The sequence below is a fragment of the Homo sapiens genome, chromosome 11 (genome assembly GCF_000001405.40).
Source record: "Homo sapiens chromosome 11, GRCh38.p14 Primary Assembly".
NCBI classification, from domain to species: Eukaryota; Metazoa; Chordata; class Mammalia; order Primates; family Hominidae; genus Homo; species Homo sapiens.
In genome coordinates this window covers 71,698,778-71,714,791 of record NC_000011.10, presented here as the reverse complement: position 1 = coordinate 71,714,791, position 16,014 = coordinate 71,698,778, and positions in this window count along the sequence as shown.

Here is a 16,014-nt window from a genome sequence, read left to right as displayed (position 1 = left end):
ACCAACTGCCAGGCACATGCGTGAGGCTGTCCTGAATGTTCCGCCCAGCTGGCCCTCCAGCTGCAGGTAGCCACACAAATGAGCCCAGGTTAAACCAGCCAGGAAGTCCCCATGCAACTCACAGGGTAACGAGCAATAATGGCTTGTGGTGGTTTAAAGTTTCTAATTTTAGGTGCAATAGGTAACTGAAACAGCCCACAAGGGTGTGAGCCTGTGGAGGGTGCATTTCCCACCTGCTGAAGCTTCTCAATTCCCAGGATCCAATCCGGATAAGACTCTTGTTCTCAGTGTCCTTGATGGAAATGGCAATGAACTTTTTGCAGATTGGACCATCTCGGGAATCCCAAAGATCGGAAACTATTTTCTTTCTCAGAATCTTCCACACAGCATTGAGCCTTAGGAATTTCTAAGAAGGATCTGGAATGAAAAAAAATCTTTTGAAAAGGTATTTGTATAGCTTCACTTCAGCAAGATTCATGGTGGGTATTAGACTAAGTGCTGGTGTTAAGCCAAACCATGTTTTTCAAAGACTCATCTGGCCTCAAGGTTGGCAGGATCAGAGTGGCCTCCCAGGATCTATCACATCCTCAGAAGAGTTGGTTCAACTGGCATGTACCCAGATCTCTTTGAGCTAGTATGATACTCCCTTGAGTCAAAGGCTGCCACATCACATCTCCTTTAAGTCCCCCTAAGTACGACCCCAGAAGTATTGACAAAATAGTGCTATTCCTGAAGATTTCAGGAGGACATAAATGAAGAGACTAAACTGCAAGGTACCAAAACTTCCATCTTTGCCAAAGACCCTCATCCAGGCTGGGCACGGTGACTCACGCCTGTAATCCCAGCAATTTGGGAGGCCAAGGCGGGCGGATCACCTGAGGTCGGGAGTTCAAGACCAGCCTGACCAACATGGAGAAACCCCATCTCCACAAAAAATACACAATTAGCCGGGCGTGGTGGCACATGCCTGTAATCCCAGTTACTAGGGAGGCTGAGGCAGGAGAATCGCTTGAACCTGGGAGGCGTAGGTTGCGGTGAGCTGAGATCGTGCTATTGCACTCCTGCCTGGGCAACAAGAGTAAAACTCCATCTCAAAAACAAACAAAAAGTCCTTATCCAATGGTCATGCCACTCTATCTGGCCATGTAATTTCTTCTCCTGGCTTTCTGTAGCAACAGCCTTCTGAGGAACCTCGCTCTGCCCTTCAAAACCCCTTCAACTTGTACCCTTCATCAGCAAAGTATTTAGCTCAACATGTATGTCTCTGGGGGAACTCATCCACATGCCATTTCAGGATATTTCCAGCAACATCATCTTCACTACCCCAGGATGGCATTTTAGAGTGGATGACGTGCCTGCTGGATGTGTTGTACTTGAGCAAGTTAGAGAAAATGCCACACTTTGAGACGAATTAAGAGTCTGTTTATTTAGCCGGTGGCTAAGAAACGGCTAACGTTTAAAGTTCTCTCGGCCTCGAAGAAGGGGCTAGATTTTCTTTTATACTTTGGTTTAGAAAGGGGAGGGGGTCTAGTTAAAACAATTTTACAGAAGTAGGCAAAAAAGTTAAAAGGATAAACTGTTAAGGAAAGTAAACAGTTCTAGGTCTAGGGGCTTTAAGATTATTACAAGGTGATAGACGCGGGGCTTTGGGCGTTATCAATTGGATGAATTCCTGGGAACTGCGGATATTGCTCACCACAGTTTCTTATCAGTTAATTGCATTCTTCGATGTGCTGGGAGTCAGCTTGCACAAGTTAAGTCCTTGAGGAAGGGGCTGCCAGTGAAAGAGCCAAGATGGAGTCTGTCTGGCTCTCTTAGCTAAGGGAGAGTCAATTCAGGTAGAAACAAGGCTAGGTGATTAAAAGAAAGGGAGAGTCTAAGAACAGGGTTTGTAAAAACAAGGTTGGGCATTACATTCCTCACTTGTGTTTTTGGGGAATCAAATCGTTGATTCTTCAGTTATAACAAAGGGGTTATATTGAGTCTTAAGATACATAAGTTTGACAGAAGCTATGTGTTGTTTTACAAAATTAATAAACTAATTTAGTATACAAGGTCCAAAAATTAGACTTAATACTAGGATGGGGAGGGGTTCTGGCTAACTTAGTAATTAGAATAGTTAGCTCTGGGTTCTAGTTGAACATGCTTTGATACTAGGGGATGTTATTTTCTTGTTCTTGTTGGTGCTTATCTAGATTTTCTTGTACCTTCTGGAGTATATCTTTTATGACTAAGAATGGTGGAGGAACCGTTAAATCAACTTTGTCAGGGTGTTTCTGGAACATAGGGTTACTTAGATCAGTTAAAGGCCTGATTGACTTGGGTGGGCTTTATGAGACTAGGGTTTTTTTGGATGGTGAACATAGTCCTAACATTAAATCCTGGGGTATAAAATCTTAATCTTCGTGACATGCCATGATACTATTGAGTTGAATTAAGGTCATGGAGAGCTATAGTAAGAGGATTACAATTTTTTCTAGTACATAATTTAGGATGAGAAGCACGACTTGTGGAAAGAGTTGAAGATCTGGTTGATCTTTTAGAGTAGGTGGCTAAAGTTACACGTGTCTAATCAGGGCAGAAAAACTGATAAGTATCTTGACAGCTAGCATCAGGGTGATTTCTAGGACAGAGGTAAAAGCCAATATTTTGGAGTCTTTTTTCTGCACTTTTGGAGCTTCTACACTTAGTTTGGCTCTTGGAGTGTCTGAATCTTGCTGCAAGGTCGACACTTCCTGCTCCTGGGACTGGCAGATTGTGTTGCTTTTCGTGGGTATGGGCTGGCTTTGGGAATAGTACAAATAAATCAACTGCAAAGGAGACTTCCTTGGAGGTACTGGCCTTCTAAGTGGTGTTTGCAAATACACGTCCTGTTGTGAAAGAGGTGAGGAGAAAGGAGTAGGAAGGCACAGAGGATGTAACGGGCAAAAACAAATAAGTTAGGTAGTAAAAAGAATGAATCTAATGGCTTCACCTGACTTAGGTGCAGTTTTAAGGGGCCTGACTTAGGCCTGAGGACTTATGTTTTTAGCTGGGCTGTGTTGGCCTTTTTGATGCGGGAGGGATGAATCTAAGCAGGAATGCCGTCTACTTTCAGAGCAGTTGGAGTCGTGAGGATGACAGTGTGAGGTCTTTTCTAAGCAGGAGTGAGTCTTTCTTTTTGGAACTTTTTAACAAACGCTAGGTCTCCTGGCTGGAACGAATGGCAGGACTTTGGTCAGGAATTGGATTGGGATGGGCTCCTCGAACAAGTGGCAGGATGATCTCTTGTACCAGTTGGAGAGACGATAGTATTGTAACAAATTAGTTTGTGATATTTCTGCTAATTTGGCATCTCTTAGCTTAGGCAAGATAGGTGGCGCCTTCTTATACATGATTTCAAAAGGTGAGAAATTAGCCTGATAAGGGGTGCACCTTACTTTAAGTAGGGCTAAAGGAAGGAGACTTACTTAATTTACACTGTTTTTTTTAAGATTAATTTTGTAGGAGTGTTTTTTAGGGTGCGGTTCATGCGTTCTACCTACCTGGAGCTCTGGGGTTGATAGGCACAATGGAGCTTCTGTTGAATGTTTAACACCTTACCGACTGACTGACTGAGCTATAGGCGAGGGGAAGGCTGGTCTATTATCAGACTTTATGGCAGCAGACAGCCTATATTGAGGGATGATTTCATTGAGTAAAAACTTAACTACTGTGTTGGTGGTTTCGTTTTCGGTAGCAAATGCCTTAGTCTATCTGGAAAAGGTGCCTACTAGTACTAGAAGGTATTTGTACTTAGCCTGGTGTGGTTTGACTTCTCTAAAGTCAATTTCTTACTTTTTTCTTGGCGAGTTTTTTCAGAGACAGTGGCCTGGGCTGGGTTTAGGACTTTGGCATTTACGTGGGCGCAGGTTGTGCACTGGAGAGCTGCTTAATCTCTTAGGCTTTGAAGATGGGGGATCTTAAAATGGCTCCGGAGGAGCTGAGGTAGCTTTGCTCTTATTAAATGGGTGGTAGACTGTAGGTAACTGATTAAAGTTTCTTGAAGAGTTCAGGGTATGAAGATTCCAGAGTCAGGAAGAATCTACTAACTTTCCTGATTTTTATTGGCTCTGAGATCTGAAGCCAGTTTTTTTGTTGTTGTTGGGTATACGGGATTGTCAGGCAGATCTGGCTGTGGAAAGGAGACTGTGGGCAGCAAGTTTAGAGGCGTGACTGAAAGTCTGGCTGCGACCTGAGCTGCTGAATCAGCTTTCTGGTTACTATGGGCAACGGCCGTGTTTTCTTTTTGATGTCCTTTGCAGTGGATCACAGCTACCTGCTGAGGCGAGTAGCCTGCCTTCCTGGTAGATGGCTTTATGTACATGCACAGTAGCAAAGGCGTACTTGCTGTCAGTGTAAATGTTAATACGTTTATTCTACTTTATCGGAGAGCCTGAGTGAGGGCGATCAATTCAGCCTTTGGTGCTGAGGTGTTCGCTGGTAAAGCTTGAGCTTACAACACATCTGTCTCCGTGGTAACAGCTGCACTGGCTTTTCATACTGCCTGCTTGAGGAAGCTGCTACTGTCTGTGAACACGGCGGCATCTGCCTTTTCTAGGGGCATAGCTTGAAGATCAGATCGGCCAGTTTCGATATTTTCTAACAGTTCTTGACAGTCATGAGCAGGAATAGTGCAGTCTGAGTAAGAAAGTAGTGTAGCTGGATTGAAACACTTTGTGGGAGAGAAAGTCAAACGAGGCTGATCTAACAGTAAACTTTGATACTGCAAGATGCGAGCATTTGACATCTATTTGTCAGAAGCATTTTGTACTAAGGTCTTTACGGCATGAGGAGCTGTAAGGGTTAGATTTTGGCTTAGAGTTAACTTATCATCTTCTTGGGCCAGGCTTGCTGTAGCCGCTACGGCTCGCAGACAACTTGGCCATCTACAGGCCACAGGATCTAGCCTCTTAGATAAATAGGCCACTGGGCGTCTTTAGGGTCTTAGAGTCTGAGTAAGCACGTCTTTAGCAACTCCTTGGCTTTTATGGAGATATTAGGGAAGGCTAAAGCAGGGGCTTCAGTTAATGCTAAATTAATGGGTTATTTCATTCTGTACTTCTTGGATAGCTGCCACTAAGATTTTTGTTTGTCTTTTGAATGCTTTATCAGCGGCCTTTTCAGCTGCCTGTGTTGCTTGTTTTTGTTTATTAAACTTTTGATTGTCAAAAACTTTTTGGGCTATTTCTAAAAGCTGACTGATATTTATTCTAGCAAATCTTTCTAGTTTTTGGAGTTTCTTTTTAATATCCGGGGCTGCCTGAGCCACAAATGCTAAATTAAGAGCACGGCTATTTTCGGGAGCTGCCGGGTCAAAAGGGGTGTAAATCCGATAAGCCTCCTGGAGGCGCTCTAAAAACGTTCTTTGTGACTTATCAGGCCTTTGGACAACTTCGGTGGTCTTAGACAAGTTTATGGGTTTCTGAGCGGCTCTTTTAATACTTGTGAGGAGATACCGGTGAAAATCGTCTAAAGCTCTCTTTCTACTTGAGGAATTTGGGTCCCAGTTAGGCCTGGTAGAGGGAAAGACCTCCTCAAGAAGGTCTCTAGCTTCTCCTTCCGGTCCATTGGCTGATGTGAGGAAGTACTTTTTGGCTTCTTTTCGGATACGTTCTTTCTTTTCAGAGGTGAAAAGGGTTAAAAGGAGCTGTTGGCAATCATCTTAGGTGGGTGAGTGAGTCCGGAGTACAGACTCTGTCAGAGAGGTCAAAGCCTGGGGCTTTTCAGAGAAGGGAGGATTATAAGTTTTCTAATTATATAAGTCAGAAGTAGAAAAAGGGACACAAACTAAGAAGGGTGCTGAGCTCTCGTCACCTGGAGGGACTTGTGCCTCTCTCAGTGGTAGCAGAGGGGCTACTTCTTCCTGCCACAGTCATGATTGAGAGGCAATGAGTGGCGAGCCTACAGGGGACGTCGTCGAGGAGACATGGGATAACTTTAAGGGAGAAGGTTGGTTGTAAGGTGGTGGGACTGGGTGAGGGAGACTCTCCTCTTCTTCAGAGGGAGGCAGTACCGGGGAAGCTGAACCGGCTGAGGGTCGAGGTGAAAATGCGGTCTGGCTTAGGAGGACCTTGGAGGTAGAATTATGAATGGCGCATGAATGGAGCCATGGAGGGGGGATCCTGACTAAACTTAGCTATTGATCAATGTAGGGAAACTGATCAGGGTGGCTAGGAGTTTCAGTAACAACCTGCCACACAGCTTGAACAATTGTGAGGTTCAATGACCCTTCAGGGGGCCACTTGACTTTAAACTTTGGCCATTTCATTTTGCACAGTGTCTGGAGCTTGCCTTTTTTAAGGCAGACTTTATAATCCTCTGAGGAACTGAGAGGAAAATTCTGCAGCATACATTGGAGAGGGCTTTAACTTTTATAAGGCTGGGAGGAAGTGTTTCTTATTTTTTTTTGGGAAGGCAATTTAATAAGATTTGAGCATAGATATTAAACTTAGCATGGACAGAGAAACTTATTTCTTGGGGGACTGGAGTAGTGAAAGAACAGAATCAACATGACTAGAAAGAGCAGAAAAACTACAACACCTAATACTACTTGCTACATTACTGTAGCTTTAAGATTGAGGGAGGAGGACTAGAGCCAGCCTGAGATCTTCTGGGTCAGTTTGATCTAGGCGTTCTTCTTCTTCTTCTAGATCTGCACTTTAAATACTTTTGGTGTCTTTATGACTTAAAGGCAAATAGCTTAAACTTAGCTTTTTCTTTTAAGGGTTTAAGGTGTGAGAGCAGAGCCAAGTCCTGGAGACGGTGAACTTGCTGTCGCACCGGAAAACGAGATGTGCGGGGTAGGGGGCAGGGACAAGGTGGAAAAGGACTACTCGGATCACTTTTAAGGTGGGAGAGTAGCCACAGAGGAACAGAGTAAGAATCTAAACGAAGTAAAGCAGTACGGGCCTACATTTCTTTACACAGTGTTCTACTTAAGGGCACAGGAAAAGTTACAGAATGACAAAAGAGGTGAGTAAGGAAATCTGCAGGGTGGCTGTTTTGAACTCACTACTAGTTTAGTTTAGGGGACGTCTAATCACTTGGACGTGGAGTATGACGATCTAAATACTTACAACTTTCATGGTGCTAGAAATCTTAATCAGGCAAATGTTTTTCACACTTGTTCTTGTAACAACACTTGACTTGGTTCTGGCAGAAAAGACAGGACTGTGGTGGCCAGCCTAAATGATTGATGAGAAATTTAACCTCCTATGACAAAAAATCAGCACTAAGGACTTTGAAGAACTTTTTACTTAGACGTCTTCGGCAATATCAGCGTCTTGACATGCAAAACTTTCACAACTACTAACAAGACAATAGAAACTGAACAGAACAATCAACATAAAACAAACAAACAGTTGACTTTAGGGCATGTAAACAGTTATGACAGTTTCTTCCTTTTTTTTTTTTTTTTAGACAGACAAGGGGAGGGGTTTCTGTGATGGGATCAGTCAGATGCCTGCCTGGCCGCTCCCCCTGAGCGGACTTGGGCTCCTCTTAGCATTGGCAGGCCGGTATAAACTTCCGGCTCAGATCGAGCTATGCCTGATGCTGCCTTAAGCCTTATGAGGTCGCCACGGAACCGCAGGTGAGGGCCTACTTGAACTCCGTAGCTTTCGCCGTGGAGCTACAAAGTGGAGGACAAGCGCAAGCCCTTGTCCTCACTCATTCATTCATTATTCACAAAGAGTTTATAACAGTTTTTTTTTCTTTCTTGGAGATTCTTCAAGAAACTTGAACAAGAGAAAGATGAGAGATAGAAAAAGAGAGAGAGAGAGAGTGACTGGTCTGCCAGAAACCTGGACTCAGTCCTCCAGCATTCTGGGATGTGGACTGAGTCAAAGGAGGACCCCTGTCAGGGCCACTTCCCTCCTAGAAAGAGACACAGAGGTGCCTAACAGAAAACCAGGGCTCTACCTTCTAGCGTCCTAGAGAAATGGGCAGAGTCAAAAGAGTGACACACTCGTCAGGGCCGCTTCCCTCTTACTAGAACTGAAATCAAATCTGACCTACCTAACCTCGGGGTCAGAAGTTGAGGACTCAGAGGTGGAATTTTTGTGCGCACCCACACGGTAGTCGATCCGCTCTCCTCTGGAAGACGGTCACCTTTTGGGGACCTGAAAATTTTTTTTCAGGTGGCACCCCCCCTACAAGCCGGCCGTCCTTCCAGGGGAGCCTGGAGCGAGCCTGGCTCTCGCCTGGTGGCGTTTCTCGCTCGGGCCTCCAAATGTTGTACTTGAGCGAGTTAGAGAAAATGCCACAATTTGACATGAATTAAGTCTGTTTATTTAGCTGGCGGCCAAGAGATGGCTAGCTCTTAAAGTTCTCTTGGCCAGGAAGAAGGGCTAGATTTTCTTTTATACTTCAGTTTAGAAAGGGAAAAGGGGTCTAGTTAAAAGAATTTTACAGAAGTAAAGTAGGCAAAAAAGTTAAAAGGATAAATTGTTACAGGAAAGTAAACAGTTCTAGGTCTAAGGGCTTTAAGACTATTACAAAGTGATAGACGTGGGGCTTTGGGCATTATCAATCTGACAAATTCCTAGGAACTGCGGATATTGCCCGCCACAGTATCTTATCAGTTAATTGCACTCTTAGATGTGCTAAGAGTCAGCTTGCACAAGTTAAGTCCTTGAGGAAGGGGCTGCCAGTGAAAAAGCCAAGATAAAGTCTGTCTAGCTCTCTTAGCTAAAAGAAAGTCAATTCAGGTAGAAACAAGGCTAAGTGATTAAAAGAAAAGGAAAGTCTAAGAACACAGTTAATTAAAACAAGGTTAGGCATTACAGATGGGGTCATCCTTATATTCAGCACAGTGTTTGTCCTGAAACTTCAATGGAGTGCTCCTAGTTTGATAACTTGGACCATACCAAATAAATTGAATTTCTCTTTCTTAACAACAGATGTTTGAATACAGCCCCGTGTCCCTCTCTGCTCCTTCCTGCCTTCCTCCTCTCCTCTTCCTTCCCTTCCTTTTCAAGAGCAGGGTTTGCAAGCTTTTACTTGAAAGCATCAGATAGTAAATATTTTAGAATTCGTGGGCCATACAGTCTCTTGTAGTAGTTAATCAACTCTGCCACCCATAGCATGAAAGCAGCTGATATAGGTTGAATATGTGTCCCCGCCCAAATCTCATGTTGCAATGTAATCCCCAGTGTTAGAGGTGGGGTCTGGTGGGAAGAGATTGGGTCATGGGGGTGGATTTCTCATGAATGATTTAGCCTCATCCCTTTGGTCCTGTCCTTGCAATAGTGAGTGAGTTATTGCAAGATCTGGTTGTTTACGAGTGTGTAGCACCTCCCTCCTTACTCTCTTGCTCCCACTTCAGCTTCTGCCATCATTGTAAGTTTCCTGAGGCCTCCACAGAAGCTCAGCAGATGTCAGTGTCATGCTCCCTGTACAGCCTACAAAACTGTAAGCCAATTAAAGCTCTTTTCTTTATACATTACCCAGTCTCAGGTATTTCTTTATAGCATGAGAGAACAGCCTAATCCAGCAGCCATAGACAATATGCAGCAAATGGGCATGGCTGTGTTTCAATAAAACTTTATTGACAAAAACATGTGCAGGCAGGTCAGATTTGGCCCATGGGCCACAGTGTCCCAACCTCTGCTCTGGAATATTCTCTTTAGCCTGGATGGACTTCTCTAGGTTGTTTTTGTTTTCTGTTTTTTTTTGAGACAAAGTCTCACTGTTGCCCAGGCTGGAGTGCAGTGGTGCAATCTTTGTTCGCCACAACCACTGCCTCCTGGGTTCAAGCAATTTTCCTGCCTAAGCCTCCCAAGTAGCTGGGATTATGGGCACCTGCCACTACACCTGGCTAATTTTTGAATTTTTTTTATAGAAATAGGGTTTCACCATGTTGGCCAGGCTGGTCTCAAACTCCTGACATCAGGTGATCCACCCACCTCAGCCTCCCAAAATGATGGGATTACAGGTGCCTGCCACCACATCTGGCTAATTTTTTGTATTTTTAGTAGAGATGTGATTTCACTATGTTGCCCAGGCCGGTCTCGAACTCCTGATCTCAAGTGATCCACCTGCCTCAGCCTCCCAAAGTGCTGGGATTACAGGTGTGAGCCACTGCAGCTGGCCTCTATATTTTTTTTTTTTTTTTGACCATTGCTTATTTGGTTTGACTTTCATTTTCTTCCCCAATATGGTAGTCATTTTCTGAATGCCTGTTAGTTTGTCCATCCCTCTCCTCTTTAGTCCCTAGAGTCAGATGAACTCCTCTGCAGGTGCAATGGTGTAACACTCTCTAGTACTGAATTTTGAGCAGGAGAAAGAGAGCAAGAGTGACCAGCACTCTTGGAAACTCTGGTCTCCTGAGAATTTGGTGTCTTCTCTGCAAAGGTTGCAAACCTGTTAACACACAGGCCGGAGAGAGAGAGAAGCCAGAAGCATGATCTGTTAAGCTTGAGTTTAATATTTGATGCACAGAGATCACTGAGTTTTTTGATGAGAATTAGAGGGGGAAGAAATGGCCACAGAGATCAATTTCTATCTCCAGGTGAGGATTCAGGAGATAATTCTGCGAACAGAAATTCCTGAGAACTGAGATGGGGGAAATCGCTGGTATTAGAAGAGTGAAAAGGTCAGTAATTAAGACTACGACTGTGCTCTGAGAGGCGAAAGAAGAAAATGAGACTGCCAGGCATGAATAATGAGAAATCTTTGATGGAATTAGCCATGCAGAACAGATAGTAAATGCATCCTCATTCTTCTCATAGTCAAAAGTTTTTGCTTAAGCTGGATGGGAAAAAGAGAATCCCATATCACTAAGTATAAAAGAGGAGATTTTAGAGAAGGTCTCAGAAGAAAGAGATGTGGCGGTTTGGTGAAACTCACCAGAGGCTGAAACCGTCTCCAGCATAACACAGGGATTGGGAGGAGCGGGGCAGCATTAGGCCAGGTGCATAGCCCAGTGCTGCTCTCTGTGGACTTTCTGCTCTCTCTGGACTTGTTTGCTAGCTGAGCTCATCCATTTGCATAATTTTCAGTGCCATTTCTCAGATGATGAGTCCTCAACTTTTGTCTTGAGGCTAGACTTCTCCTTCAAACAGCAGTCTTAAACACTCAACTTCTTTCTTGTTTTTTCCACTTGTCAACTCATGAACACCTCAACCTTGTTAAATCCAAAGCCAAACTCATGGCTTGGAGAGGTAGGTGATGGCTGTAATCCCAGTGCTATGGGAGGCTGAGGTGGGAGGATTACTTGAGGTCAGGAGTTTGAAGCCAGCCTGGAAAACACAGTGAGACTCCCTATCTCCAAAAAAAAAAAAAAAAAAAAAAAAAAGCTAGGCATGGTGAAGTGCATCTGTAGGATCTGTAGTCCTGTTACATGGCAGGCTGAGGCAGGAGGATCACTTGAGCCCAGGAGTTTGAGGCTGCAAAGAGCTATGATTGCACCAATGCACTGCAGCCTGGGTGACAGAGCCAGAGTCCCTGTCTTAAAAAAAACCAAAAGCAAAACTCTTTTTCCTCCTCCTTCTCCATGGGCTCTGTCCATGCCATCTCTGTTCTGTAAATGGCACCACCTCCTGCTGAGCTGCTCAAGGTGGTCATAACTCATGTGTTGTGTTAACTCTGCTTTTGCCCTCTTCTCCAGTCAGAAGTCCTGTGATTCTAAACTTTATCCAACTTGTCCACTCTCTCTATCTTCACTGTCATTATCTTTGCCTAGGACACCGCTATCCCAGCTGGGCTACAGCAGCAGCCTCCTAACTGGTCTTAACTGGTCCTCTGCACCTGCTCTCCATGCTCAGCAATCCATTTCCTACCTAGCAGCTTCAGTGATCTTCAGGTATCCATTGAGTCTCATCCCTGCCTTTCCTGCCCATGGCACATAGAATAAAATCGAGACCCCGAGTCTTCTGCCTGTTCCTGCCACCTCTCCAGCTCTCTCCTATCTCGTCCCCTTGGCCTACTCTATTTCAGCCACTCTGGCCTCCTTTTGTTTTCTTCGACTTTCAAACCTTTCTCCACAACAGGGCCTTTGCACTTGCTGCTTCAGCCTGGAATGATTTTCCTCTGCACCTCCCCAAATTAGACCATCCTTTAGGTCTCAGCTAAAATGGTGCTTCCAGACAGCTCTTTCCTGACCCCTTTATAAAGTGGACTTCCCTGCTCTTCTCCACCTTAACCTCGTTATTTCTTGTTGCGGGAACTCAGGGACCCCAAATGGAGGGACTGGCTGAAGCCACGGCAGAGGAACATAAACTGAAGATTTCGTGGATATTTATCAGTTCCCAAATAATACTTTTATACTTTCTTATGCCTGTCTTTATTTTAATCTCTTAATCCTGTTATATTCATAAGCCGAGGATGTACATCACCTCAGGACCACTGTGATAATTGTGTTAACTGTACAAATTCATTGTAAAACATGTGTGTTTCAACAATATGAAATCAGTGCACCTTGAAAAAGAAGAGAATAACAGCAATTTTTAGGGAACAAGGGAAGACAACCATAAGGTCTGACTTCCTGCAGGGTTGGGCAAAAAGAGCCATATGTTTCTTCTTGCATGGAGTCTATAAATGGATGTGCAAGTAGGACAGATATTGCTAAATTCTTTTCCTAGCAAGGAATATTAATATTAATACCCTGGGAAAGGAATGCATTCCTGGGGGGGGGTCTATAAATGGCCGCTCTAGGAATGTCTGTCTTATGCAGTTGAGATAAGGACTGAGATACGCCCTGGTCTCCTGCAGTACCCAAAGGCTTACTAGGGTGGGGAAAAACTCTGCCCTGGTAAATTTGTGGTCAGACTGGTTCTCTGCTCTCAAACCCTGTTTTCTGTTGTTTAAGATGTTTATTAAGACAATACATGCACCACTGAACATAGACCCTTATCAGTGGTTCTGCTTTTGCCCTTTGCTTTGTGATCTTTGCTGGACCTTTATCAGTAGTTCTGCTTTTGCCCTTTGTCCTGTTCCCTCAGAAGCATGTGATCTTTCTTAGACCCTTATTAGTAGTTCTGCTTTTTGCCCTTTGAAGCATGTGATCTTTGTACCTACTCCCTGTTCTTACAGCCCCTCCCCTTTTGAAACCCTTAATAAAAACTTGCTGGTCTGAGACTCAGCAGGCATCACGGACTTACTGATATGTAGTGTCACCCCCAGGGGCCCAGCTGTAAAATTCCTCTCTTTGTAGTGTCTCTCTTTATTTCTCAGCTGGCTGACACTTACAGAAAATAGAAAGAACCTATGTTGAAATATTGGGGGCAGGTTCTGTCAATAGTTCTTTCATGGATTTACTTATTTTTTGTCTCCCTCCATACCCTAGAAACTCCTGGAGGGCAGAGCTGTGTCTGCCATCTTCATCATTGCATTACCACCACCCAGCACAGTCCCTGGCACAAAAGAGTTGCTCAATAAATAGATCAGGATGAATGGATAAATACATGGATAGGCACTTTGAACTACAGAAGAGTTTAAATACTTTGTGTTTTTCTTAGTCAAACATGTGCAATTAAGCATGTGATAAATTATATGATGACCACACCTGTGTGTTGCCTGACGTTCTTTGCAATCACTAAGTGAAGTCAATTGTGCCTGTTTTGACAGTTCTGTTTTCAACCTAATGATCTTTTTCTTTTAACTTCTGGCTGTTGGCTTTGTTTGGGTTTGTTAGCCTGACAAAGTGGCAGATATTGGTATTTGCTTTTTTGTTTAAATGTCATGAACTTTAAAAATGCCTTTGCTTTTGGTAAGAAACCCTAGTTAGGACAGTCTAGCAGTCAGGATGATTTGGGTTCTGGTGCAGTAACAACAATCCCCAAATCTCAGTGGATTCATGCAGTGAGGTATTTGTTTGTTTGTTTGTTTGTTTTTTGAGACAGGGTCTCACTCTGTCACCCAGACTAGAGTGCAATGGTGCAACCTCAGCTCACTGCAACCTCTGCCTCCCAGACTCAAGCGATTCTCCTGCCTCCTGAGTAGCTGGGATTACAGGCCTGTGCCACTACTGTCTCACTAATTTTTGTACTTTAGTAGAGACAGGATATCACCATGTTAGCCAGGCTGATCTTGAACTCCTGACCTCAAATGATCCACCCGCCTTGGCCTCCCAAAGTGCTGGGATGACAGGCATGAGCCACCATGCCTGGCCACAGTGAGGCTTATTCTTGGTCACGTTGGATGTCTGGGCTGTGTTAGGGCATTTTGGGGTGGTCTGTTCATTGTGTTCACTCAGGGATCCAGGCTGACAAAAGCCCCATCTCTGCATGTGTCCTTGATCACCACTTCAGGGGAAAGGGAATGTGGTGGATCACACAGCCTCTTAACACTTCCACCTGGAGGTGACTCAAGTTGCTCTTGCTCATGGTTCATTGGACAAAGCAGATCACAGAGACATGGTCAACTTCTCTGTGCCTGGAAGGGGAATCAAAATATGAATAGCTACATTGATTTTCCCTAGCTATTACACAGAAGGCCTCATTTAAACACAGTTACTTATTTGTGTTTTGAAGCTAATTGTCCATCAAACTTCACAGAAGATATGTGCACTTCCAAGTTATTATTAAGCACAATTTTTTTTTTTTTTTTGAGACAGAGTCTCACTCTCTTGCCCAGGCTGGAGTGCAGTGGTATGATCATGGATCACTGCAACTTATGCCTCCTGGGTTCAAGTGATTTTCATGCCTCAGCCTCCCAAAGTGCTGTGACTACAGACACCCACCACTGCGCCTGGCTAAGTTTTGTATTTTTAATAGAGATGGGGTTTCACCATGTTGGCCTGGCTGGTCTGGAACTCCTGACCTCAGGTGACCCACCTGCCTCGGCCTCCCAAAGTGCTGAGATGACAGGCGTGAGCTGCCACGCCCATCCTTGAGTATGATTTTTGATTGGGAAGGTCAGAGTTAGGGTTTTAGTCTCAGGACAGTATGATGTGAAGGTGAAAAGCAGAGCTTGGCTGTGAGTTTGCTGGGATGCCTGTGCTGCTTCTACAGTTCTTTGGCTGTGTGACCGTCACCTCTGGCAAGTTCCTTTACGTTTCTATGTGTTGGTTTGTGTTGGTTTCCTCATCAATAAACTGGAAAAACTAATCATAATCATAATATCTATTGGTGTTGGGATAGCCCAGTGGTTGACACATAAGGACTCAAAAATAGTTTTTTTTTTTTTTTTTTGGAAACAGAGTCTTGCTCTGTTGCCAGGCTGGAGTGCAGTGGTGCAATCTCAGCTCACTGGAAACTCTGCCTCCTGGGTTCAAGCGATTCTCCTGCCTCAGCCTCCCGAGTAGCTGGGATTACAGATGCCTGCCACCACTCCCAGCTAATTTTTGTATTTTTAGTAGAGACGGGGTTTCACCATGTTGTCCAGGATGCTCTCGATCTCTTGACCTCATGATCCGCCCACCTCAGCCTCCCAAAGTATTGGGATTACAGGCATGAACCACCGTGCCTGGCTCAAAAATACTATTATTAATTTTGGGGAGTAGTTACTATATTTTGTGAAAATCAGAGTTCAGTACCTTGTAACACTGGGTTGGGATCTATCCCTGAAGGAACAGGCTTCTAAAGAGGAAGGCATGGAGAGAGGGGCAAAATTTCAGTGGATGTTGTAATGACTTAGGTATATGGACCTGGGGCTGAGTTCTAGCTGGAGCCACCAGGGGGCAAGGTGGACTTTGCTAAATTATATCACTTTCCTGGGCCTCAGACTCACTTGTTACAAATGGGGTTAAAGCATCCCTCTTTCAGGGCTAAGATAAAGATGATTAAGTAAGAGGGAATGAAAGTAACTTCCATCAACGGTCAAAAGTATTCGTTTAATTTTTTTTTTTTTTTTTTTTTTTTTTTTTTGAGATGGAGTCTTTCTCTGTTGCCCAGATGGGAATGCAGTGGCATGGTCCCGGGTCACTGCAACCTCCACCTCCTGGGTTCAAGTGATTCTCCTGCCTCAGACTCCTGAGTAGCTGGGACTTCAGGTGCATGCCACCACGCCTGGCTAATTTTTATATTTTTAGTAGAGACGGGGTTTCACCATGTT